At 44.1% G+C, this 24,555-nt stretch overlaps 2 protein-coding genes across 44 annotated transcripts in view, besides 2 other annotated features; one reads left to right on the forward strand and one right to left on the reverse strand.

Annotated features, from left to right (window-relative positions):
* CUL1 (cullin 1) overlaps positions 1 to 12,819 on the forward strand; it is a 103,355-nt gene extending 90,536 nt beyond the window's left edge. For all 6 annotated transcript variants that reach the window (NM_001370660.1, NM_001370661.1, NM_001370662.1 and 3 more), the window contains exons 14-22: positions 266 to 383; positions 1,459 to 1,535; positions 2,019 to 2,150; positions 4,435 to 4,527; positions 9,521 to 9,568; positions 9,646 to 9,728; positions 10,281 to 10,386; positions 10,984 to 11,097; positions 12,211 to 12,819. In NM_001370660.1, coding sequence (NP_001357589.1) covers positions 266 to 383; positions 1,459 to 1,535; positions 2,019 to 2,150; positions 4,435 to 4,527; positions 9,521 to 9,568; positions 9,646 to 9,728; positions 10,281 to 10,386; positions 10,984 to 11,097; positions 12,211 to 12,291 — 852 coding nt within the window. In that variant the 3' untranslated portion in view covers positions 12,292 to 12,819. The remainder of the gene's footprint in view (positions 1 to 265; positions 384 to 1,458; positions 1,536 to 2,018; positions 2,151 to 4,434; positions 4,528 to 9,520; positions 9,569 to 9,645; positions 9,729 to 10,280; positions 10,387 to 10,983; positions 11,098 to 12,210) is intronic.
* Positions 9,746 to 10,945: an enhancer, noted in NCBI's record as "MED14-independent group 3 enhancer chr7:148495129-148496328 (GRCh37/hg19 assembly coordinates)". NCBI's record gives its function as "activates an origin of replication core promoter dependent on BRD2, BRD4, P300/CBP and CDK7 cofactors, and independent of MED14, by STARR-seq in HCT116 cells {active_cell/tissue: HCT116}" and the evidence as "EXISTENCE:reporter gene assay evidence [ECO:0000049][PMID:35650434]".
* The window catches only part of EZH2 (enhancer of zeste 2 polycomb repressive complex 2 subunit), a 76,909-nt gene continuing 71,445 nt past the window's right edge, over positions 19,092 to 24,555 (reverse strand). For all 38 annotated transcript variants that reach the window (XM_047420002.1, XM_017011820.3, NM_001203248.2 and 35 more), the window contains 5 exons: positions 23,334 to 23,429; positions 22,042 to 22,123; positions 21,019 to 21,099; positions 20,780 to 20,864; positions 19,092 to 19,415 (listed from right to left, as the gene is read on the reverse strand). In XM_047420002.1, the coding sequence (XP_047275958.1) occupies positions 19,355 to 19,415; positions 20,780 to 20,864; positions 21,019 to 21,099; positions 22,042 to 22,123; positions 23,334 to 23,429 (405 nt within the window). In that variant the 3' untranslated portion in view covers positions 19,092 to 19,354. The remainder of the gene's footprint in view (positions 19,416 to 20,779; positions 20,865 to 21,018; positions 21,100 to 22,041; positions 22,124 to 23,333; positions 23,430 to 24,555) is intronic.
* Positions 19,449 to 19,949: an enhancer, noted in NCBI's record as "H3K4me1 hESC enhancer chr7:148504832-148505332 (GRCh37/hg19 assembly coordinates)". NCBI's record gives its function as "activates a minimal SCP1, AML or CMV promoter by ChIP-STARR-seq in primed H9 embryonic stem cells {active_cell/tissue: H9 hESC(primed)}" and the evidence as "EXISTENCE:reporter gene assay evidence [ECO:0000049][PMID:30033119]".

Below are 24,555 nucleotides of genomic sequence, written 5' to 3' on the forward strand. Positions count from 1 at the left end.
CCTTGCTCTTAAATGCTCACAAATTGTGTATGAATTGTGTGTGTGAACACTTCACTGTGCAACATAGAGTTGTGGGGTTTTTTGACAGTGTATTAATATTAATCCATGCATATTTGTACTGTAAAATATAGCAAAATGTTACTAGCTTTGCTAGTAGTTCCATATAATTAAGTATATATTGTATACTCTGATTTCTCTAAGATTCCCTTGTATACATTTGTATTTTTGTACAAATTAATAAGACAGTCATCTGGGTTCTTCTCAGCAAGCTTGCGGGTTCGAGTACACCTCTAAACTTCAGCGCATGTTTCAAGACATTGGCGTGAGCAAAGATCTGAACGAGCAATTCAAAAAGCACTTGACAAACTCAGAACCCCTAGACTGTGAGTATCCGTGTGTCTCTATGTTGTGTTTACAGGCAGAGTTCTCTGTAGCAAATGAAGAAATGACAAAATATTAGGTGAAGATGGGAGGGGCTTTGTCAGAAATTCAAGAACTAAGAAGCGGGAGATTCCTCCCAAATGCCCAGCCCTCCTCCCCCGACTCCCGTGTGACATTAGGAGATGACAACCCTTGAAGTGGTGTCAGCTCTACTGGGGCAAGGTCACCACCTGTTGGGATCTGGGGAGGGACTCACAGGCGTGGTTTTGTCTTGTAAACCTTAGCTTGGATCCATTCTAGCATTTATTTTAATGTTCACTTGGCCTGCATAGGTAACAGTCAAGCTAAAGACCTGTGGCTTCAGACTGGGATTAGGGATCAGTACAGGCAGGTGCAGGTGATTCAGTTCTCCAGGAGAGGCAGCTGGGCTGGTATTTTAGGGCCTTGCATAGTAGTAGGATGGCGGATTTATGCTTACATCATCTTTTGATCATCTTTGTCTTTTTAAATGAAAAATGGAGAATTTTATTTTTCCCAAATCAGAATGACAATTCTATTGTAAAACTGGACAGTTTTGCCAGTGGGCTTTTTAACTATCTGCGAAGATGAAATTACTGTTATAATTTATAGACCATGTGTGGCGTTTCCCAGTAATAAGTGAAACATACACTATAATGAAGTTAGCGGTTTTCTCCTGCTTGTGAGTTTGCATGAGTCTGGGGCTGTGATGATGCCGGGCCTGGCAAGCACAGGCGTGGCTTGAGTGGACTGAGTGATTCAGGACAGAAAAGGAAAGCAAGGGAAGCAGGGCAGGCGTGTGACAGCAGAATTCCGAGGTGGAAGCAAAATGAAGACTCTCACTCTTTGGAAGAAAAGAGTATCTGGCTCTTGCACTTTTTGCTAATTTTAATTGAATAAAATGTTCAATTCTTAATTTTATATTCAAGCAGGATTTTTATTTAATGTGCTTTTTAATAAAGAGCAATCCACATTCATCTGAAATGATTGAATTTTTCAGTTTATAAACTAATTAATGTATTCCAGAATGTTCACTCTCCCCTCTCTTCCGTCCCACAGTGGATTTCAGCATTCAAGTGCTGAGCTCCGGGTCCTGGCCCTTCCAGCAGTCTTGTACATTTGCCTTGCCGTCAGAGGTAAGGATGGGTTTGTCTGCCATCCCATTAGTGCTAAGTGGAGGGTGGGGCAGGGCAGCCTTCACTGTGGAAGGGGACAGGCCTGCAGATGGCCTTCCTGCTGGCTGGCTGCATCACGGTGAACCATGGGGGCAACACTCAGGGAAGAGCCCTGTGCAGTGGGGCAGGTCTGGATGTCTAAAGGTGGGCTGTCTGTCCCAGCTCTACAGACATGTTTCCTTATCTTGTAAAGCAGAACCTAATTAGTTGTGTAATGAACACCTCGATGGACCTGCTGGTCTTGAAGTACAAACCTTTTTTAAGATTGTACCTTCCAGTGCTTAAAGTGCTTTACAAGAGAGGCAGACACCTGGCGTTTGTATTTTACTTTTATGTAAGCACTGACTTTGTACTGTAAGCTTGGAACAGTGGGCTTTACTTAGAAACGCTGCCTGTAGGATGTGGTGAGATCTGTATTCCATATAATGCTGTCCTTTTATCTAGTTGGAACGTAGTTATCAGCGATTCACAGCTTTCTACGCCAGCCGCCACAGTGGCCGAAAATTGACGTGGTTATATCAGTTGTCTAAAGGAGAATTGGTAACTAACTGCTTCAAAAACAGATATACTTTGCAGGTAAGATCACATTTTTATCTTAAAATTTTTCTATTCTAAATGAACATAAGGCAAATTATGGAAATCATTATCAGCTGACTCAGCAGCAGAATCTAGAATTCAGCTTCTGGTGAAATAGTGGCAGGTTTAAAGCATGGAGTTGTAAGAATCAGATGAACCAAATTCCAATTCTTTCTGGCTGGGGAGCAAGTTATTTAATGATTGTGAGCCTCAGTTTTCTCCTCCATTAATGGGAGTGTTAGTACTTTATAGTTGGGAATTGATGTGAAAATTAAATAATGTATTTAGTAAGTGTTTGGCACCGCTCCTGCCTGACACACATCAGCTGTTCAGGTAGTGACTTCAAAAGCTGGAGTTGCATGCATTTCATTATATCAGCTCTCCACCTTACACAGAGCACTTTCACATTAATAACACTCAGTGCTGACAACAATATTGAGTACAACCTAATTTATACCTATGTAACTAAGAATATTTCCATTTCTTAGAGGAGAAAACTGAGGCTTGGGTTAATTTAAGTGAATTTCTCTGAATCCTAGCTTATATGTAGCTGAGCCAAAATTTCAGTTAAAGTCTTTTCTCTTAAAGTCTAGGCTTGGGCTGGTGTGGTGGCTCACGCTTGTAATCCTCACGCTTTGGGAGGCTGAGACCAGAGAATCACTTGAGGCTAGGAGTTTGAGACAAGCCTGGACAACATAGCAAGACCCCATCTCTAGATATTTTTTAAAGTAAAAAGAAAAAAAAGTCCAAGCTCTTTCTACTTCCACTTTTGTACTGAGTGGTCTTCACAAGTAATGGCATATTTTAGTCTCTGAGAAGTTTTCACCAGTGAGTTTCTAAGAAGAATTGCAAATCTGTGTTTAAGTATTAAGAAACTCCAGAATGGGTTGTTCTGCAGACTCAAGCTGCTCATTAATTTAAACTTTTCGTAAATCTACTGTGACTTAAAATTGTTAAAATGCATAGTATTATGCTGGCTCCAGAGGTCTTTATCAACTTGAATGTTTCTTACTATACAATTGAAATTTTGTTTCATTTATCCCCAAATATACATAGAAGAATCCATGTGTTCCACTACAGTACCTGGAATTTCAGTGTCCAGTTTTTGACGGTGGAGGCTTTGCCTAGGGTGTGTCTGCCGTGTTAAGGCAGCCCGGAGCGGGCCCAATAGAAAACATTAGCAACACGCTCGTTCCCTTGTATCTCTGTTCAAGGCCCTGGAAGCAGTGTTGTCTGTGGGCCGCCCTGAAACAGGCATGTGGCGTTTTTTGTTTCTCTTTCCATTGACCAAGGTCTTGCCGAGAGGCAAGCAGTGACTGACAGTCATGGGTCATTACTTGTTGCTGTCGATTATGCAAGAAAACAGGGAGAAGAGAAGGAAGGCGTCCTCGGGGTGTTCATTCGCTTGCACACACTCAGCAATCAGGAACCAACACGTGCTACCTGTCTTTTAGAAGATACTTTAGGGCCGGGTGCAGTGGCTCAGCCTGTAATCCTAGCACTTTGGGAGGCCAAGGCAGGCAGATCACAAGGTCAGGAGTTCGAGACCAGCCTGGCCAGCATGGCGAAACCCCATCTCTACTAAAATACAAAAATTAGCTGGGTGTGGTGGTGCACGCCTATAGCCCCAGCTACTCTGGAGGCCAAGGCAGGAGAATCCCTTGAACCTGGGAGGCGGAGGTTGCAGTGAGTCGAGATTGTGCCACTGCACTCCAGCCTGGGTGACAGAGCAAGACTTTGTCTCAAAAAAAAAAAAAAATAGAAATTTAGTACACTTGCCATTTCATACTTTACTTACTTTTTTCATACTTTCATAGTAAAGTACTTAGGATTAGAAAACCAAATATAATTTGATATTTGTGTTGTTTTACATCAATAATGTGCCAAAAGATAATATTCCTTAGCTCATGTGCCAAAAACAGATTTGGAGATTGATGCTTAACATGTCCATATATACCAGGTGTGTGTATATGTGATTGTCTCTATAAATGCGTGGGGACGTATCTATAGTATGTATCCACATAGACAATACGTTTTTTAAAAAAAACCCTCAAATTATTTTAATGTTTGTAAACATGGAAAATGAATGACTTTGGGAAAATGTTGCATTGTAGTGGCATTGCCACGTTTTATATTCCCTTTTAAATAGATCTGTGCTTTTTTTGTACTTGTTTAAAGAATTTGTTTCATAAATAAGTTCTTCAAACTTGGGCTGTATATTTTGGGAGGTGTTTCCATGCATGTAAATTTTCCTTCTTTTTCTTTTATATGGGGGGCCGCAAAGGCGTCGACATTCCAGATGGCTATCCTGCTTCAGTACAACACGGAAGATGCCTACACTGTGCAGCAGCTGACCGACAGCACTCAAATTAAAATGGTATTCTCATCTCAGGCTCGTTGTTCTATCAGCTTGCCGTTTCCTTGTTCTCGTGGATATTGTTAGGAAAGATAAGGAAGAGGATATGGGCATCTTTAATTTGAAATAGATGTTTGCCTCATGAATATGAATATGGCCTTATTCCAGGATTTTAATACGCACTACAAAAAGCTTCATGTTAAAACTCATTGTTGAGCCAGGCATGGTGGCACATGCCTGTAGTCCCAGCTTCTTGGGAGGCTGGGGCGGGAGGATCACTTGAGCCTGGGAGGTCGAGGCTGCAGTGAGCTATGATCGTGCCACTGTACTCCAGCGTGGGTGACAGAGACCCTGTCTCTTAAAAATAAAACTACGTGTAACACACACACACATACTCCTCATCCATGCTTTTCTCTCATTCATTTAACCAGTTAGGCTTTTCTTACTAAGCTTAAATTTCCACTTTAGTATTATTTTTCCTGCTAGCCATATTTTTTATTGAGATATATTTTAGATAATAAAATTTGACATAACATAAAAGTCATTTTAAAGTGTACAAAGTGGTTTTTAGTATATTCACAAGCTTATAGAACTACCACCATTATCCAATTCCAGAGTGTTTTATCACCCCAAAAAGAAACCTGCACCCATTAGCAGTAACTGCCCGCTAGCTCCCAGCCCCTGACAACCATTAATTTGCTATCAATTTGCCTACTCCAGACATTTCATATAAATGGAATCATATAACACATGACTTTCTGTGCCTGCCTTCTTTCCCTCAGTGTATACTGTTTGCAAGGTTTGCCCATGTTCTAGCATGTGTTGGTACTTCATTTCTTTTTGTGGTCGAATAATCCAATGTATAGATGGACCACATTTTATTTGTTCATCAGTTGATGTACATTTAAGTTGTTTCCAATTATGAACAATGCTGCTGTGAATACATGTTTTCAATTTTCCTGGGTATATACCTAGGTATAGAATTGCTGAGTCATGTAATAGCTGAATTTTTTGAGGCACTGCCAGACTGTTCCATAGTGGCTGTGCCATTTCATATTCTCACCAACAGTGTATGAAACTTTCAGTTTCTCCATATCCTCACCAACATTTGTTATTTTCATTTTTAAAAAAAATTATAGCCATCCCAGTGGATGTGAAGTAGTATCTTGCAGTTTTTGACTTGCATTTCTCTAACAACTAATGATGTGTAGAATCTTTTTTGTGTTTATTGCCATTTGTATATCTTCTTTGGAGAAATGTTTGATCAAATTCTTTGCCCATTTTTCAGTTGGGTTATTTGTCTTTTTGTTGTTGAGTCGTAAGAATTCTTTTAATATTCTGTATACTAGATCCTTATCAAATATGTAATTTACAAATGTTTTTTCCCATTCTGTGGGTTGTCTTCTTACTTTCTTATATACACACATTTTTAATTTTGATGAAGCCTATTTTATCTATTTTTTCTTTATATTGTTTGTGGTTTTGGTGTCATTTTTAAGGAATCATTGCCTAGTCTGAGGCCAAGGACTATTCTCTCCCTATTGTTTGGTGCTGGCAAACTTGTCAAAAGTCAGTTGGCCATAGGTATATATGGGTTTATTTCTGGATTCTCAATTATTTTCCAGTGATCTGTATATCTTTACTATGCCAGTATCACACTGTCTGGATTACTGTTGTTTTGCAGTAAATCTTGAAATCGAGACCCCTAACTTCGTTTTATTTTCCCCCAAGATTATATTGGCTATTCTGGATCCCTTATGTTACCTTATGAATTTCAAGATCAGCTTGTCCATTTCTACAAAAAGTGCAGTTGAGATTTTGATAAGGATTGCACTGAATCTATAGATTGCTTTGGGGAGTATTGCCATCTCAGCAGTATTTTAAGTCTCCCACTCCATGAACATGGGATGTCTTTTCATCTATTTAGGTTGTCTTTTCTTTCAACTGTGTCTCATGGTTTTCAGTGTATGCATCTTCTACTACTTTCAATTTATTCCTAGTTTATTCTTTTTGATGCTATTATAAATGGAATTGGTTTTTAGTTTTTTAATTGAGACGGAGTCTTGCTCTGTCTCCTAGGCTGGAGTGCAGTGGTGCAATCTTGGCTCACTGCAACCTCCGCCTCCTGGGTTCCAGCAATTCTCCCACCTCAGCCTCCCAAGTAGCTGGGATTACAGGCGTGCGCCACCATGCCTGGCTAATTTTTTGTATTTTTAGTACAGACAGGGTTTCACCATGTTGACCAGGCTGGTCTTGAACTCCTGACCTCAAGTGATCTGCCTGCCTCGGCCTCCCAAAGTGCTGGGATTATAGGCGTGAGCCACCGTGCCTGGCAGAGTTGTTTTCTTAATTTCACTTTTTTCTGTTTTTTTGAGACAGGGTCTCTTGCTCAGGCTGGAGTGCAATGGTGCAGTCATAGCTCACTGCGGTATCAAATGATCCTCTCTCCTCAGCCTCCTGAGTAGCTGGCACTACAGGCGCTTGCCACCATGCTCAGCTAATTTTTGTATTTTTTGTAGAGATGGTGTTTCACTGTGTTGCCCAGATTGGTCTTGAACTCCTGGGCTCAAGTGACACTTTCACCTTGGCCTCCCAAAGTGCTGGGATTACACAGGCATGAGCCACCATGCCAGCCTGTTCCACTTTCTGATTGCTCGTTGCTAATGTATAGAAGTACAACTAAGTACCGCAGGGTGTGGTGGCTCACGCCTGTAATCCCAGCACTTTGGGAGCCCGAGGCGGGCGGATCACGAGGTCAGGAGATCGAGACCATCCTGGCTAACATGGTGAAACCCAGTCTCTACTAAAAATACAAAAACAAAATTAGCCGGGCGTGGTGGCAGGTGCCTGTAGTCCCAGCTACTCGGGAGGCTGAGGCGAGAGAATGGTGTGAACCCAGGAGGCGCAGCTTGCAGTGAGCCCTGATTGCGCCACTGCACTCCAGCCTGGGCGACAGAGCAAGACTCTGTCTCAAAAAAAAAAAAAAAAAAAGGTACAACTAATTATTGTATTTTGATTCTGTTTCCTATAACATTGCTAAATGTTTATTAGCTCTAATTTATTAGCTCAAATAGTTTTTGGGGGGATTCCTTAGAGTTTTTTGATATACTGTCATATCATCTATAAATACAGGCAGTTTTGCTTCTTCCTTTTCTTATTTGGCTGCCTTTTATTTCTTTTTTGTTTGTCTTTGTTTTTGCCTGATTCTTCTGGCTAGAATTTGTGGCAAGAACAAGCATCCTTGTCTTGTTACTGCCCTTATTGGGAAAGCTTCCAGTCTTTTACTGTTTAACTGTGATGTTAAAGAGTGATGGTGTTAGCTGTGAGCTTTTACTAGATGTCCTTTATCAGACTAAAGAGGTTCCCTTTTATTCTTAGTTTATTGAATTTTGTATCATGCAAGAGTGTTGTATTTTGTCAAAATGCTTTTTCTACTCTGTCAAAATAACTGCTTTTTTGTCTGTTAATATGGTGTATTGCACTGATGTTGAACCACCCTGGTGTTCTTAGGGTGAGTCCCACTTGGTCATGGTATATAATCCTTTTTCTATGTTGTTGGGTTTAGCTTGCCGGTATTTTCTCGAGTTTTGCATTTATATTCATAAGGGATATTGCTCCATTGTTTTCTCAAGATGTTCGTTTGGTTTTCGTGTCTGGCTAATCCTGGCCTTATGGACTGAGTTAGGAAAGTCATTTTGAATGACTATTTTGTAATCATTCTTCGAATTACTCCTAAATATATCTTCAGATTCTAATAACAAAATGAGTTTGTGCCTTTGTAGGTTGGAGGCCTGGTTGCCCCCTAGACTGTGGGGAGGGCTGTGCAGACGGGTCCTGAGGACAGGGCTGACAGGTGTGGACTGTCAGGTCTTTGCTTGGCTGCTTCTGATCAGGATTTTAGGCCAGTCTCCTGAGTGGTTCTCAGTGTTAGAACTCCCTCAGGAGGCTGCCGCTGCTCTCTCCTTTCTGCCCACAGTAGATGCTGTCCAATCAGACCTGGCTCAGGAAGTGGGCACCCCCGCACCCTGCTCTAGATGCAGTGGGCAGTATTCGAATGGCTGCTGGCAGTTCTGGGTCAGTTACTAGACTAGAGAGAGGCCTCTCGCTTTGACAGCTTTCACCACGTATCCTCAGACCAGAATGGGTACCCATTATGACGACAGGACTCCACTGCCCGTGGGTTGTAAGAGTCCGTGTGACTCTGTGAGTGCCCTCAGGCTGGTCCCTTGGATTTCATGGGATCATAAAGCTGTGAGGCTGAAGGAGGGCTGGGAAGCGTTTACCACACCCACCATTCACAGATGAGAGGCCACACAACGTGCTTGAGTGCATCAAAGGCAAGTTGACAAGGTCGCCTGCCGCTGAGCCCCACTGTTCTCATGAGCAGGACATTATTTTCAGTCTTGCTGGGCAGCTCTTTAATATTTCTTTTGTGATGATCAGTGTCCAAGATGAGCTGTCAGGCACTTAAGAAGTGAAGAGTTCCTGAAGATTTCATTGTGCATGGTTTCCAATACAGGTTCAACATCCCTAATCCAAAAATCCAGATTCCAGAATGCTCCACAATCCAAACATTTTTGAGCACCAACATGATGCTCAAAAAAAAAAAAAAAAAATGCTCATGGCGCAGTTGAAATTTCGGATTTTCCAATCAGGGCTGCTGAATCTGTAAATCCAGTGCAGTATTCCGAAATCCAAACACTTCTAGTCCCAGGCATTTCAGATAAGGGTTACTCAACCTGATTTAAGTATAACAGAATTGTTCATTTCTATTATTGTGTGATCAAGGCCAGAAAGGGGTTGATTTCACTTCTAGAAGTCAGGGTGGAAGGAAGCAGTAAATTTAGTGAACTTCTAAGAAGTACCAACTTTTTTTTCCTTCCAGCATACTCTTCTTTTGGGTGATTTTTTTTTTTTTTTTTAATGGAAAATGGACTGTGAGGTTGCCTGTGGTGGTTATTGCAAAGAAAAATGCATTTTCCCTTTAACTTCCTCTTTTTCTCTTTAATTGCAGGACATTTTGGCGCAAGTTTTACAGATTTTATTAAAGTCGAAGCTATTGGTAGGTTTGCGCCCTTTTATCTTACACTAGAAGAAGCCTTTTCCTGAGATTGTAGAGTAACAATTGTTTTCTTACAGGTCTTGGAAGATGAAAATGCAAATGTTGATGAGGTGGAATTGAAGCCAGATACCTTAATAAAATTATATCTTGGTTATAAAAAGTAAGAAAAATCTAATAAGTAGATGGCCCTTGACCATAGACACGTCCCCCGGGAGCCCTAGCACGGATCTCAGTATTGTTACAAACCAAGGGAGACCGGGGACTCAGTGTGAAGCGACAGGCACTAGGCTGGGAGTGTGAGGTAGGCCTTTGATTCCATTCAGCGAGCCTGATGTTTCTCCAATTCTGAGCTTCTGGGATTTTTATTATTTTGGCAAATAAGTCTCCTTAAATGGCTCACCAAGAAAGTTTGGACCTTTGTGTCCAAGTGGCTTGATTTTATCTCACTTGACAAAATTTGGGAGAGCAGATTAGGGACCTGGATTTTCTGTAATGTGGATGTCCCTGTTAATGGCCGAGTAGGAAACTAGGCCATGATCGGACTCTACCCAGTGCTGGGTAGAGGACATTTTCACGGAGAGCTCACAGAAATCAACATTCTCCCCTCTGTCTAGGGAAGCAGGGCACTTCTTAAAGGTTGAAAAATAGAAAGCAGCCTTCACTGCCTACCTTTTAATATAATAGTGATCGGTTTCCTCATTTTTCTTGATAGTAAGAAATTAAGGGTTAACATCAATGTGCCAATGAAAACCGAACAGAAGCAGGAACAAGAAACCACACACAAAAACATCGAGGAAGACCGCAAACTACTGATTCAGGTGACTTATCTGTATGCCTGTGCCAGGTGTGCTGTCCCTCACGCAGGGATGGCTCGCAAGGACGGGCCGTGGGGGGTAGGCGGGGGTGACAAAGGAGTGATTGCCAGATGAATGGGTCTGTGATGGCAGAAGGTGGCAAGGCCGAGAGCCAGGGCCTTGTTATCTGAATTAGTCCTTTATGTCACCAGGCAAAACAGGGCAGTCCTCTTGCTCTAAATGTTGGAAAGCAAACATTGTGGCAGGTTTGGCTGAAATGAGGGGGAAGGAGAGTTCTTCAGTGGGGAGGATGGGCAGCTTCCGTGGCCTTGAAGATTTAATTTTGTCTCCTTTTTTTTAATGCTTTATGGTTGAGTTAAATTATTGAGGTAAAATTGCTCAAAAGACCCAAACATTGTAATGTTTGCCACGTTAGAGTTGAAACATAGGCAGGTAGAATTGGTTCCCTCTCCCGTCTCACCTGCAGGATGTTTGTTGCCTGTTAGGAAATTGTGATCCTGTGCATAGGCGTCGGCAGCCTCTGTGCAGCTTGTCCTTAACTATCAATACAACGTTGTTACAGCTCTAAATGCACTTCTTTTTCCTTATCTTGTTGCATAGGCGGCCATCGTGAGAATCATGAAGATGAGGAAGGTTCTGAAACACCAGCAGTTACTTGGCGAGGTCCTCACTCAGCTGTCCTCCAGGTTCAAACCTCGAGTCCCTGTGATCAAGGTACAGGACTTTACATAGCAGTCACATTCCTTTCTTAATTTAGAAGATAAAAGATGTAGCAAAAAGTGGATTGATTGCTGTAGCATGAAGGAGGAGGGAGCTGGCTTCTTTGTATGTAGATTTCTATAAAAGAAAGTCGGCTTCAGTTTAACTGTTGAAACACACATACAAAGTGCACAGATGATGAAGTGCCAGCTTGATGACTTTCACAGTCAATACACTGTGTGATCAGCACCCAGGTAAGAATTGAAACATGCCCGGCATCCCGGAAGCCCACCCACCCCAGCCAGCACCTGTGTCCCATAGAAAATCACTGTCGTGTCTTCTGACACCATAAAACAGTTTTGCCTGCTTTTGCGTGATACATAAACAGATTCTAGAGCACACACTCCCGTGCCTGGTAAGAATTTCCTCAGCAGTATCTTCGGGAGGTTCGTCGCATTGCGGTATCGAGAAGCACTGGGTCGTTTTTGTTGCTTTTATGGGTGTTGTGTTATGGGAACACACCTTCCTTTATGTAGCCTACTGATAATTGACATTTTGCTTATTTCTGATTGGGTTTGTTTAAAATGGTAACTAAGCAGGACTTTCCTTTTCCTAAACCACTTGGGTAAGTCACAGCCAGTGGAGAGACTCAGGGGTGGCATTGACAGGTGACTTCCCCAACAGGCAGGAGGCCCAGTGTCCCTCCTGGGTTACATTTGGCACAGGTGCCAGTTCGTTCATGGCTGTTCAGGGAGTTCCCCACAGTCCCCTGTTCCCTGTTCATGGCCTCTTCTTGTGAGACTGAGTCCTGCCGCAGAGGCAGGCAGATTTTGGTGGTAGAAAGGGAGACTGGCCCACGGGGCTCCCGAAGCACCTGACTCCAGTTCCTAGGGCGGGTGCAGGAGGGACTCGGAGTCACCCTCAGCAAGTGTCAGGGAGCTCCGTGCATGAAGGCTTAGCTGCCAGGAAGTAAAACTCTATGCTAACAGATCTGGGGCGGGGACACTGCTCCCCACTGAGCTCCGAATCAGGGGAGATTTGTGGTGGGGGCAGCCTCTCTCTGTTCTGATGATAATTTGTGTTTTTCTTCTCTTTCACTACCTCTTCCTTTTTAAAAATAACACCCAGAAATGCATTGACATTCTAATTGAGAAAGAATATTTGGAGCGAGTGGATGGTGAAAAGGACACCTACAGTTACTTGGCTTAACCCTTCTGGAAGGGTCTGACTGTGTGACCCGCAGCAAATAGTTCATGTTGGAAAGAATGAAAACAACTCAAGTTCATAGCAGCCAGCCTGCCGCCATTGGACCTCCCTTTTAAAAACTGAGACCAAGACTCCCATCAGCTGGTCTCGGATTTACATCGGAACTGCTCAGGATTGATACATTTCAAGTCTGTAAATACGGACACCAACGCCATTTACCCTAATTTAAGAACAGCGGGGACTGACCCTCCGTGCCGAGGGCTGCATGCTACCGCACTAAGTCAATACATGGGCTCCCCGATTCGCAGCTGTCGTCTTGGCAGCACTTGTCACGTTGGCAGCACTTTGAGAGCAAGTCTGAGTGGACCCACATGTAACCTGCTATGAAAACCATTTGTATAGTGTGTTTCATTTTTTAATGTGTGAAAATAAAGAAAATTAAAGGATTTCTGTACAAGTCGCATTGGGTTTTGTTTTAAGTTTTACTAATTTCTATATGTAAATAAAAGATATAATGATTGTGCAAATTTATATTCCTAGTGTCTTCCTGTAGTTCCAAAGGGCCGTATTCTTTGGATTGAAAAGTTTTTAAGATCTCAGAATTTTAAGCCCCTGTGTAATCCTTTTTTTAAAAAAAGAAATCATGCTTATTTTTGTGACTTCTGTGGTGACTTGAATGGACTGTGTCACTGTATTCAGTGAGAGTCGGTGGCCACACACTCATCCTCTTTGACACGTGTAAGGACTAAATGACTTACCCTGACAACCTACGTGTGAAATAGTATCCTCCTTTCTGCAGGTGGGGAAACTGAGGCCAGATGAGGGAAGCTGCCTCTAGTGAGTAGAGGAGGTAGGACTGAAGGTGAGTGGCCGGGCTCCAGGATCCCTGGTCGTCACCAGCCTCTGCTGCCTGAGTCTGAGTCGGCATGGAGAGCATGGGCCCGGGACACGGCAGAGCCTGCTCGTCCATGCTTCTCCGATTGTGGGCTCGGGACACGGCAGAGCCTGCTCGTCCACGCTTCTGTTCCGGCCGTGGGCATGGGACATGGCACAGCCTGCTCGTCCACGCTTCTGTTCCGGCCGTGGGCATGGGACATGGCACAGCCTGCTCGTCCATGCTTCTGTTCCAGTTGCAGCAGGTGGTTATGAGGAGCTGACAGATCAAAACGTCAGCTTTGACTGGTGAAGCTTCCTGGACTCACCCTCGCACCAGCACTACGTCAGGGAGCCAAGGTTCTCTTGCTTTTCAGGCACCTGCTGGAAGATTGGACCATGTTCTTGACTGTTAGAAGAGTTATTCCACTTTGGGAGGCTGAGGTGGGCGGATCACCTGAGGTTGGAAGTTAGAGACCAGCCTGACCAACATGGAGAAACCCTGTCTCTACTAAAAACACAAAATTAGCCAGGCATGGTGGCACGTGCCTGTAATCCCAGCTACTTGGGAGGCTGAGGCAGGAGAATCGCTTGAACCCGGGAGGCGCAGGTGGTGGTGAGCCAGGATCGCGCCATTGCACTCCAGCCTGGGCAACGAGAGTGAAACTCCGTCTAGAAAAAAGAAAAGTTACTCCTCCCTGAGAATGGAATGTTTCCCCAGTGTGTCCCCAGGAGAGGAGGTCCTGGGCCATGGGGATGCACACCCGACCCTCTCCTGGCACGGATGTAACCACATCGTGGGAGCCCTGGGAGCACTCACCCCAGGAACCCTACATGTCGCCTGCCTGCGCCGCAGTGTAGCTTCTTCCTTCTGTCTCCTTTGCCGTGTCACTCACTCCCCAGCCACGGTCAGGGATGCTGCTTTGCTCCCAGTAACTTTGTTTTCCTCATAGAAGCTTCAGGTACCTCACAGGTTTTGCAAGTGATAAATTATGAACATCCTTAGCACATGCCTGTGCCCAAGTGCAAGTTAGCCAGGTGGAGGGAAGGCATAGCTAACAAAATAAGTAGAAGTTCCTGGGGTTTCTCAGGAAACTCGGACATCTGACGGGTTAGTGTAAAAGGATAAGGGCCAGGCGCGATGGCTCATGCCTGTAATCCCAGCAATCTGGGAGGCTGAGGCGGGTGGATCACAATGTCAGGTGTTCAAGACCAGCCTTGCCAACATGGTGAAACCCCGTCTCTACTAAAAATACAAAAAATTAACCGGGCATGGTGGTGCGTACCTGTAATCCTAGCTACTTGGGAGGCTGAGGCAGGAGAATCACTTGAACCCCGGAGGCAGAGGTTGCAGTGAGCTGAGATCACGCCATTGCACTCCAGCCTGGGTGACAGGGCGAGACTCTGTCTCAAAAACAAACAAACCGGGGGGCTAGGCACAAGATAGCTCACGGCTGTAAGCCCAGCACTTGGAGAGAGCTCAGCCTTGTGCAACATAGGGAGCCTCCGTCTCTGCAAAAATTAGCCGGGCTTGGTGGCGCACATTTGCGGTCCTAATCGCTCATGAGGCTGAGGCAGGAGGATCGCTTGAGGCCAGGAGGTTGAGGCTGCAGAGAGCCAAGACCACTGCACTCCAGCCTGGGCAACAAAGCAACCCTGTCACAAAAAAGTTACACAGGTTAAAAAGTAAAATGGTAATAAACCCAGCACTTAATGGTTCTCAACACTTTTTTTTAGTATATCCCCTTTTTCAGACCATCTAGTGAAGAGTCCCAGTATAGAAGCCAGGCAGGAGACAGCTGGTGTTCCGAACTCCACCCTGCCCTGTGGCGCCGGACTGGGAGTAAAGCTCACCTCCTGCTTTTCCTCAAACCAGTCCATTATTCTGCCTGTGAGAAAAGCATGCTGCAAAGGAACACCACAGACCTGCCTTAAGAGCTTGTGTATTTCAGTCCTGCGAATGATAGGAAATATTGTCATGAGTTTGCTGGTCTCTTCAGTTCCTCCGGGATCAAGCAGGCACTTGGGTAAGTACCTTGGTCCCATGGAAATTCCTCACGGTAAGCGAAGGTGAGCTGAGTGATGGGTGAGTCGGGAGTTCGCCCCACACCTTCAGATTCCTGGCCTTTACCTGCTCCCCTTCGCACTGGGTAAGTGTACCGTCTTGACTGGTGTGAAAGAAAAGGCAATTCAAGACCTATGTTTAGGTCCAAATGTCCCTTATGTGTATAGGTTGACTGCATTTCTCTTGGTAAGACATGGAAAGGGAGACATTCCCTGAGGCATTTCTTTTTCAGGACAACTTAGTAAGTCGCTTAGAGGCAGAGTCCCAGAATTCTGGAAACCCCGGGTGTTCAGTCCCTATATGTGGGCAGCATGGTTAGAACCCAGGAGGAAGGTCACATTCTTCCCAGTTCTCAAGCCCTATTCTCCTTGGACAAAATACTTGTATGTGCACAATTACTAGCTGTAATTGTGAAAATTGTGGCCAGGCACATTGGCTCACGCCTGTAATCCCAGCACTTTGGGAGGCTGGGCGGCGGATCACTTGAGGTCAGGAGTTCAAGACCAGCCTGGCCAACATGGTGAAACCCCATCTCTACTAAAAATACAAAAAATTAGCCAGTTGTGGTAGCACACGCCTGTAGTTCCAGCCACTTGGGAGGCTGAGGCAGGCGGATCGCTTGAACCTGGGAGGCAGAGGTTGCAGTGAGCTGAGATCGTGCCACTGCACTCCAGCCTGGGCGACAGAGCAAGACTCCGTGTCAAAAAAAAAAAAAACAAAAATAGTTTACAAAGAACCACCAAGCGCAGTATCACTGAACTAATCCAGCCCCAGAGTACTCACATTGTCACTCTTGCTTTTACCCTTTGTTGAAGTATAGGGGAGCCTGTCTGTAGAACACCAAACATCTGGGACTATTTGCTGCCAAATCCTAGTGGGGGTCTACACGGTGTGGTGGTTACCACTGAGACCAGGCTTACTATCTTGGAATCATGGCCAAAGAGGTTGGAAACAGTATCACAGCAACAAAGGTTTAATCTATTGACAACTTGAACTCATATTTTATAAAATCAATATTTTACCTCCTGGGTTGTAGAAAAATTCATTGTGGTTTAATCAGAGCTGGGCTGTGCACTAAGACCAGATGCACAGGCTGAGTATGTATTGCTGTGACCTAAGGGAACAAGGGAAGGGAGGACCTTGATCTCGGCGCCTGGGAGGGTAAGTCTCCTGGTTGGGCTCTGTTAAGCGTAGGGTATAGACTCGGGATGCTGGCCAGGCACGCCACATGACAGGAATCTGAAGGGTAAGAAAGTGGCTACAGGACCAACAGGTGCCTGTAATGTCATGTATGTATTTTTACTGACAGCATTTTAAGATGCTGCTCCTTGATGAATATTGGTACCTAATTTTCCTGTGAAGTTTAGCATGACCACCCCCAGTTGGAAAACATGCTTGCTGGCCTTCAGCTATTTGAACTGAATCCCCCTTCTAATGAAGACACCTTCTTGTTCGTAGGAATCACAGTCACTTGGCTGCCCAGGTTCATTTTTTATACCATCATCGTTCATCTGTCCAGTTCATGACCCTGTCCAGGGGCAACCCCAACAATGCCCTTGCCGTAACAGGTGAGTGTAGACCACTTCTAATGCCAGGTATCCATGTGTAGCCCCCACTGGAATTGTTTATTTATATCAAGGGATTGAGTGGATACGCAATTATTTCAACTAGTTCCATTAAGAATTATTTAACAGAATACTGTTTTCAAAATGTTTACATTTCGGATCCAGTCTTGATGAGCTATCTACAAGCTTAAATGTGTGGGTTTACATTTGATTTGACTTTTGGTGGAGTTGCTGAACATCTTGGGCAGAAGTGGAAGTGAGGACCTGGCATGGATACGGTGAAGACTGGAGATGGGATGAACCAGACAATAATGAAAACCTAGCACAGCTTCTAGGTGCCTCTAACTTTACCCACAGTAGTTAGTCTGTGGGTGAGGTCCCGCTTATTGTATATGTCAAGCCTTCTATTAAGTAGCTGATGAGCTTAAAAAAAAAAAAAAAAAACGCTGGGCGGAGCAGCTCACACCTGTAATCCCAGCACTTTGGGAGGCCGAGGCGGGTGGATCACTTGAGGTCAGGAGTTCAAGACCAGCCTGGCCAACAAGGCAAAACCCCATCTCTACTAAAAACACAAAAATTAGGGGTGGTAGCCCATGCCTATAATCCCAGCTACTCGGAAGGCTGAGGCAGGAGAATCGCTTGAACCTGGGAGGCAGAGGTTGCAGTGAGCCAAGATCACACCACTGTACTCCAGGCTGATTAGTGACAGAGCAAGACCCTGTCTGTCTTTAAAAAAAAAAAAAAAATCACAAAAAACCTCAATGTTTTAAGAAAGTTTACGAATTTGTGTTGGGCTGTATGCAACCGGCTGTCCACAGGCCAGACAAGCTTGATAGAAGGTTGTATCAAATGGGTTATTAACGTCAAGGATTTCTGTTCAGAAAATCTGTGTTCACGGACGTCACTGAAGAGGCTTTTAGAGAAGCGCATTTCAGATCATGGTATAAAAAGCTTGCTGTGCAATGAGAATACACGACAGGGCTCAAAAACTACTGCTTTCCATCAATGCCACCTTGTCTTTCCTACGCATTTGGGGCTCTGGTACATTGAGCTCACTGGAGGCCTCAAGGATCTGCTTCCCAGCTGTTCCTCTGAGGATGGGTTGAGGGCTGTAGCTGGAATGAGCCATGTCAACAGGTACTTTTGAGCCCAAGTAATCTTTGGGGTCTCATGAACAGGCGATGATGAACAGATGGGCTCCATGCGCCTGTGCCTAGGCAAGGCCAGTGAGCCATCTAGAGAATGACCTAACCCAAATAATGAAGTAACTGCCTCAGGAGATTGATGGCTGCCCAGTTTGCCCAGGGTCCTGCTGAGTGCCGAGCGGAACATGAGGGCATCGAGGGCAACAAGCTCTGAAGTGAATGGTACCGTTTTCTGGGTGAGAGTGGAGATAGTTATTTAGATGTAAAATAGATCAGCACTGTCATTAAGAAACCATGGGACGAGGCTGAGGGAGGGATCTCCTCAATCCCAAATCAAGTGGCAAATTAACTGTAGGACTCAAGTTGCTGCGCCTGTGCACTGATGTGTCAGAGAGAGACCTGATCCCGCAAATGCTGTGGAACTGGAAAGCAAGATGAGTCCATTTAATTAGGTTTCATATTAATACTACCACATTGTAAATAAAAATCTAACTGTAGCAAAGGCAACTGCTAAGTAACTGACAGTATGGACTGGTTTGCAGCGGTTGTCAGGGTTCCCATGATGCTGCTGGTGAATGTACCTGGGGAGGGTGCAGGGAAGTTACCTCAAATTCTGGGACAAACCACATTATCATAAGGCATGCAAGGTACATGTCGTTTCCTTGACGCTTTCAGAGTTTGTGATTTTTACCTCTGAGAAGATATAAAACTACAGTTTGGTTATACCTATCAATCACCTTTTGTGATAAGGTAGGTAAGGAATCCCAACTTATATTGTGTTTGTTTCTAAAGAACTCTATCTAGACTAATGGAGTTTAGAACTAGGTACGTTCTTAAAAATAACCTAAAAGTCTACTCTGTCAGTTTATATATGGGGAACAGACTTGGAGGTTAAATCTCTTTCTCCAGGTTGCACAGCTGACTGGAACGTACCCACCCTGGTCTTGTCTATAAGATCAAGCCCTTTACTGGGTAAGCCCTCAGGATGCACAGCAGTGTTCTTCATATATGTCTTCCACATATTCACAGGCAGTATTAGTTAAATCAAGATTCATACAAAGACAACTAAAAAACCCAAGGAGTTAAATTTAAAAGTTTTTTGTTGAGCAGTCCTGAAAGCAGTTATTGACACGTTATGAGAGATGATTCAACAAGGACAAGTTCAAGTATTCTTTATTCAAAGTTGAAAAATGTACCATACTGCATTATTGCAAAAATTCACTGGTACAAAACACTTTGCAGCTGGTGAGAAGGCAATAAAAAGTTGATTTTTAAACTCATTACTATAAATTATTCTTACAGTACTTTGCAAATTCAGAATTTCAAACTGCATGTTCTTTTTCTAAATTGCCCACAGTACTCGAGGTTCCTGAAGCTAAGGCAGCTGTTTCAGAGGAGGGGGGAGGAGGTAGCAGATGTCAAGGGATTTCCATTTCTCTTTCGATGCCGACATACTTCAGGGCATCAGCCTGGCTGTATCTGAAACAACAGGAAGGAGATGTCCGCTGGATGGCCACCCATCCAACATGTGCTGAGACTTAACACAACAAAGCCTGCTGAAGATAGTGGGTGCATTAAAATGTCTTTAAAAAAAAAAAAAAAAAAAAAACCCATCCAATTACACAGCTGCCTGCATAACGGCACATTCATAGAAGGCAATGCATAGGTCTGTGTTGCTGGCCATCTAATTGAGACGCTGCCAAGTTCTGAAGTGAACAAACCTGTCTACAAGCATTCCCAGAGCCTGACCAGCCTCCCCTATGCCTCTGAAGCAAGTGGTCCCAGGAAGGCTGGTCCACATCAGGATGCTTAGGCCTGACGCTGGGAAGGCAAAATAGAACCATGGTCTGGAAAAAATGATGACCATAGCAAAGAGGGCCAAAGAGCAGCCCGCCAGTTGCTCCCCCAGGTGAAGCAAGAACTGGAGTGCAGCGGACACCCAGAGAGGAGCACAAGAAGCCCACCATGGGGGGTGAGGCCACCGGGTCATCCCAAGGAAGCTCCACCCCACACTCTTCATTCAGAGCCAGCCTGGAGTGAAGGCAGCGGCCTTTGCTAAAGTGGGCCCTTCACTCAGACCCTGTCTGCCTCACTGAGAGCTCGCTGCTGTGCAACAGCCATTAAAGGCCAGCCTGAATATGCAAGAACACAGTACTCAAAGACAGCTTCTGGATGGGATGTACACGGGGCTACAGGAGTTCATTAACTAGACAGTCATCTGACTGCACTTAAATCTGTATTCAATGGCTGACTTAAATGTATCCCACAGAGCTTGACAGTGTCAACTGGCAGCCTAATGCCTAACCACACAGATACCATTGGTGGCCCACGTGTCCCAGGCATCCCCACAGGGTGATCAGACAGCGATTTGCCAACAGCCCCTTTTAAAATGGTAATGATATGTGTAATAAGTATTATAGCAAACAATAAATTAAGTAGATCTAATCCATAAAGATATGCATAGTATATTGTCAAGTAAAACCATGTTGCAGAAAAATCTATAGGACAGTGTGATCGCACTTATCTGGAAAACGCTCCACGAGTGAGCATGCAGCATGCGGCATGATATGAGAAGGTCTAGGACTCACCCAGCTGTCAACAGCAGGGTGAGAAATGGGGCTTTCTGCATGGATTTTACTCTATTTTAAAAATAAGCATGCCTTGTATAATATATAAATGGATAATAAATACATAACAGGAAAGTGTAACCTAATTCCCCACTAATGCTCATGGCAAAGTGACCCATCAAAAGAAGCAAAGAACTAAAAACCCTCCTTTGTCCAGAGTTCACAATCCAGTAGAAAAAGCCCTTAGAGATCATGCTAGAAATGTACTTTACCAACCTGTAATCAAAAAACAGCTCTTCGCCAGTCTGGATGGCTCTCTTGGCAAAAATACCTATCCTGTGATCACCGTTAACCATCATAACTGCAAAGAGACACACTGGTGTCAGTGAGCATGAAGACGGGCCACGGGGGGTTAACTGACTTGTTCACATAACAAACAACTATCCCAGAAGTATTCAAGTCCATCATCACAGGACTGAAAAGGGAGTTCCAATTCTCACGTCAAAGGTACCTACCTTTTGCATAGCAGTTTGGATTTACCGAATGATTTGCAAAACGAATTTTGTTACCCTTGCGGGTTGCATCCACCACAAAATCTAAAAAGAAAAAAGTAAGCACAGCCCAGTGAATAATTTCAGTTATAAGTAAACCAAGTTATTATGATTTTGTAAATGCAACTGGTTACAGTTCTTCAGGGTTTGCCTGCAAAAGCAAATAAATCAAGCAGCTTCATTCAGTAAGAAATGACATTTGGAAGAACACACTATTGTTCCAGGTTAAAATTAATCACCTATAATTCAAGATGGTTATCTGACTCAAAAGCTATTAATTATCAACTATAAACATACATTACTGAGCAAAACATAGCAAAAAAAAAAAAAAATCTGACAAAATTCTTCCAAACATCACGAATAGGCATTTTCACATTTAAAATTAGTTTTTTTCATTATAATGTCTATAAAGCATTCATAGAAAAAAACCTATTCTACTTGTTCCAACTAAGAGTTTCTCTGAATATCTTACATGTTAAGCCTACCTCCATTTTCACATAATCCCACCAGAAACATCCCTACACAGCCTTACATTCTACCCCAGAACATCAGCTATGAAAGCAGCTGCCTTTCCTCTCAGTCCTTTGAGAATATCCAGGGGAGTCTGGAAGATGGTTGCAAATGCAGTGCTCCTCCCCTCCTTCCCCGCTCAGAGGCACTGACTGGAGGAGGTGTGCTGAGCTGCCTGAACACAAGAGGTGAGGTGAGCAGCAAGAGCACAACGTCCCCTTCACAGCCAGATGCTGGGATAGTGCCACCCACAGACAGCCGGGACTCCAGAGAGGCGGTTTCCTGCACATCTAGTCTATCTGCTCCCTGAGGAATTCCTTGCTCCAGTTCCTTTCAAGCAAGCAGCCCCCCATGCCTCTAAGGAGATCCTCCTTCTGGTCACCTCACTGACCTCTACCCTCGTTTCTGAACACTCGGCCGGCAGAAGGCTGCCACATGCAACTCAGGAACTCACTGCCTCCCAGCTCTGAAACATACCATTGTTCAAGTTGAACAGAAAGCTGCACATGTATTTATCATACACTTTCCCTCTTCTGTCAGCTTCATCTTGAGAAATAATCTAAAAAGAAAGACACAGGAGAAAATTCTTTTGGATAAAGGTGATCAAGCCTGACAGAACACACAAAAGCGCACAGAGTGAATACTGGACCTTCTGGAGAAAACGCAACAAAAAGGGTCACTACAGCCAAGTTCTCTTTCCCATTCGGTCTGCGCAGTAATAAAGAATAACTGTATACTAAGGACCCCAACTCAGAAATATTTCCACATCCTGAAGTAATTATCCTTGGAGAAAGTGAGGAACCAAAGTCTTTTTGCTGAGTTTTTTAAAAAAGCCGGCTGCAGTGGCTCACGCCTGTAATCCCAGCACTTTGGGAGGCCGAGGCGGGCAGATCACCTGGGCGCGGTGGCGCATGCCTGTAATCCCAGCTACTCGGGACACTGAGGCAGGAGAATCGCTTGAACCCGGGAGGCTGAGGTTGCGGTGAGCCAAAATCACGCCATTGCACTCCGGCCTGGGCAACAAGAGCGAAACTCTGTCTCAAAAAAAAAAAAAAAAAAAAAAAAAATTTGGGTGAGCTGGTTCCAAACTGAAGCTAGGCCTATGATTTTTCGGTAACACTGTCGACAATTTAAAAGGTGAATAACTAATGACGTTGTTGTTTCTAGGTCCTTATCAACTAGGTTGTGGATTAAGCAGGCCACTCTATGGTAAAGCTCTTGTTCTCCCTGTTGTCCCTAGACGAGAAAAACTAAATGTGGCTAGAACCAAGCAATCCTGTTTTGTTTTGCTTTTTTTCCCCTCTGAGACAGGGTCTCACTTTGTCGCCCAGGCCGGAGTGCAGTGGCACAAACATGGCTCACTGCAGCCTCAACCTCCCAGGCTCTTCCAGGCTCAAGCGATCTTCCTGCCTCAGCTCCCAAGTAGCTGGGACTACAAGTATGCACCACCACGCCCGGCTAATTTTTGCATTTTTTGTAGCAATGGGGTCTTGCCATGTTGCCCATGCTGGTCTCCAACTCCTGAGCTCAAGCAATCCACCTGCCTCGGCCTCCCAAAGTGCTGGGATTGCAGGAGTCGGCCACCGCGCCCAGCACAATCCAGTTACTAAGCATGCAAATCCACAAACATGCAGAAGTCCAGGCTGAAAAGGCAGTTTATGGCAATTCATTTCCAATCAAACCCACAGACTTACCTAATAAAATCAATCTAAAATAAAGTAAAGTTAGTATATACAATGCCACCTGAATACAGGTTATCAGTGCCTTACCTCTCCACAGTATTCTGAGATGAATTCATTTTTCTGCACAGGATCTTTGATAAAAATCCCCCAGCCTGCCACGTCAGATGGTGCCAGCAATAGATGCTAGAGAATAAAACACAATCACATCATCAAAAAAGGAGGGTGAAAATGGACTGGGGACAAAGTAGACTACAGAATGAAAACAAAAGCTATCACTGTAAATCCTCAGACCTGTTTGTTCTAAGGCAGTAATTGGGCACACAGCTTCAGTCAACGTGAAAGCTGCTGAGAATGGCTATGAACATTATGTTTTCCTTATACAGCAGATAAGAATCTCTGTCTTACAGAAAACCTTTTGGTGGTGTTGGTCCTCTGCAATGACCATCGTTCAGCAAGGTGCTCTAGGCCTGCTGCACTTTTGGCTTCCCTGTATCTTCAGCCCTTGATTTCCTCGAGTAATTCACTTTCAACCTGAATTTAATATAAGGACACCACCAAATCACTCTTCCTCTCCATACCTTTCCCTCTACTTTCCCCAAGTGATTCTATTAATAGTTATTCCATTTTCAGCCCCAGGACACCCCCTGATTCTTCACTGGCGTTGGTTCCCTCTGAAGCCCATAGCAGCTTGGCTTTGGATTTGTTCTTCCACCCCACCTCCTCAGGATAACACAAGAAACTACCGGGAGGTGTTATCATGATCTTGTCAGTCCAGTAGTCTATTTTCAGCAGAAATGCCAAGATGATCATTGCTATAAATTATGTATTTAGGGATGTGTTCCCCAACATATGCCAATTTTTCATCACGGCTCAGTATTATGCTTTCATCCAAAATTTTCTTGTGACCTTTACAAAGGCTTCCTATCTATTCCTATTCTGGACCATCTTACCACTCACCTGTCATGTGAACTTCCCAAATAGCCTTCTGATCAGAAACTAAATTAGCTAAATACTGCTATGCAAATGAAACCCAACTGGTAAAAGGTATCTACATAGTTTAACATTTTTAAGAGTTAAAAAATGTCTTACAAAGAGGACATGTCAGTATGAATAGAATTGCCCACTTTCTGAACAAAGTGAGGAAGGAGTACAATGGTAAGTTGTTTGGGGGGGAAATTGAGATTTTTAGGTCTGAGCAGGTATGCCATCGGAAACGGAACCAGAGTCACTGTGATCCAATGACCTAAATGGACATATAACTGCCTAGAGTAAAATCATCTAAATGTCTAACAGAAAAGAAAAAAGTCAA

This window comes from Homo sapiens, chromosome 7 (genome assembly GCF_000001405.40).
Source record: "Homo sapiens chromosome 7, GRCh38.p14 Primary Assembly".
NCBI classification, from domain to species: domain Eukaryota; kingdom Metazoa; phylum Chordata; class Mammalia; order Primates; family Hominidae; genus Homo; species Homo sapiens.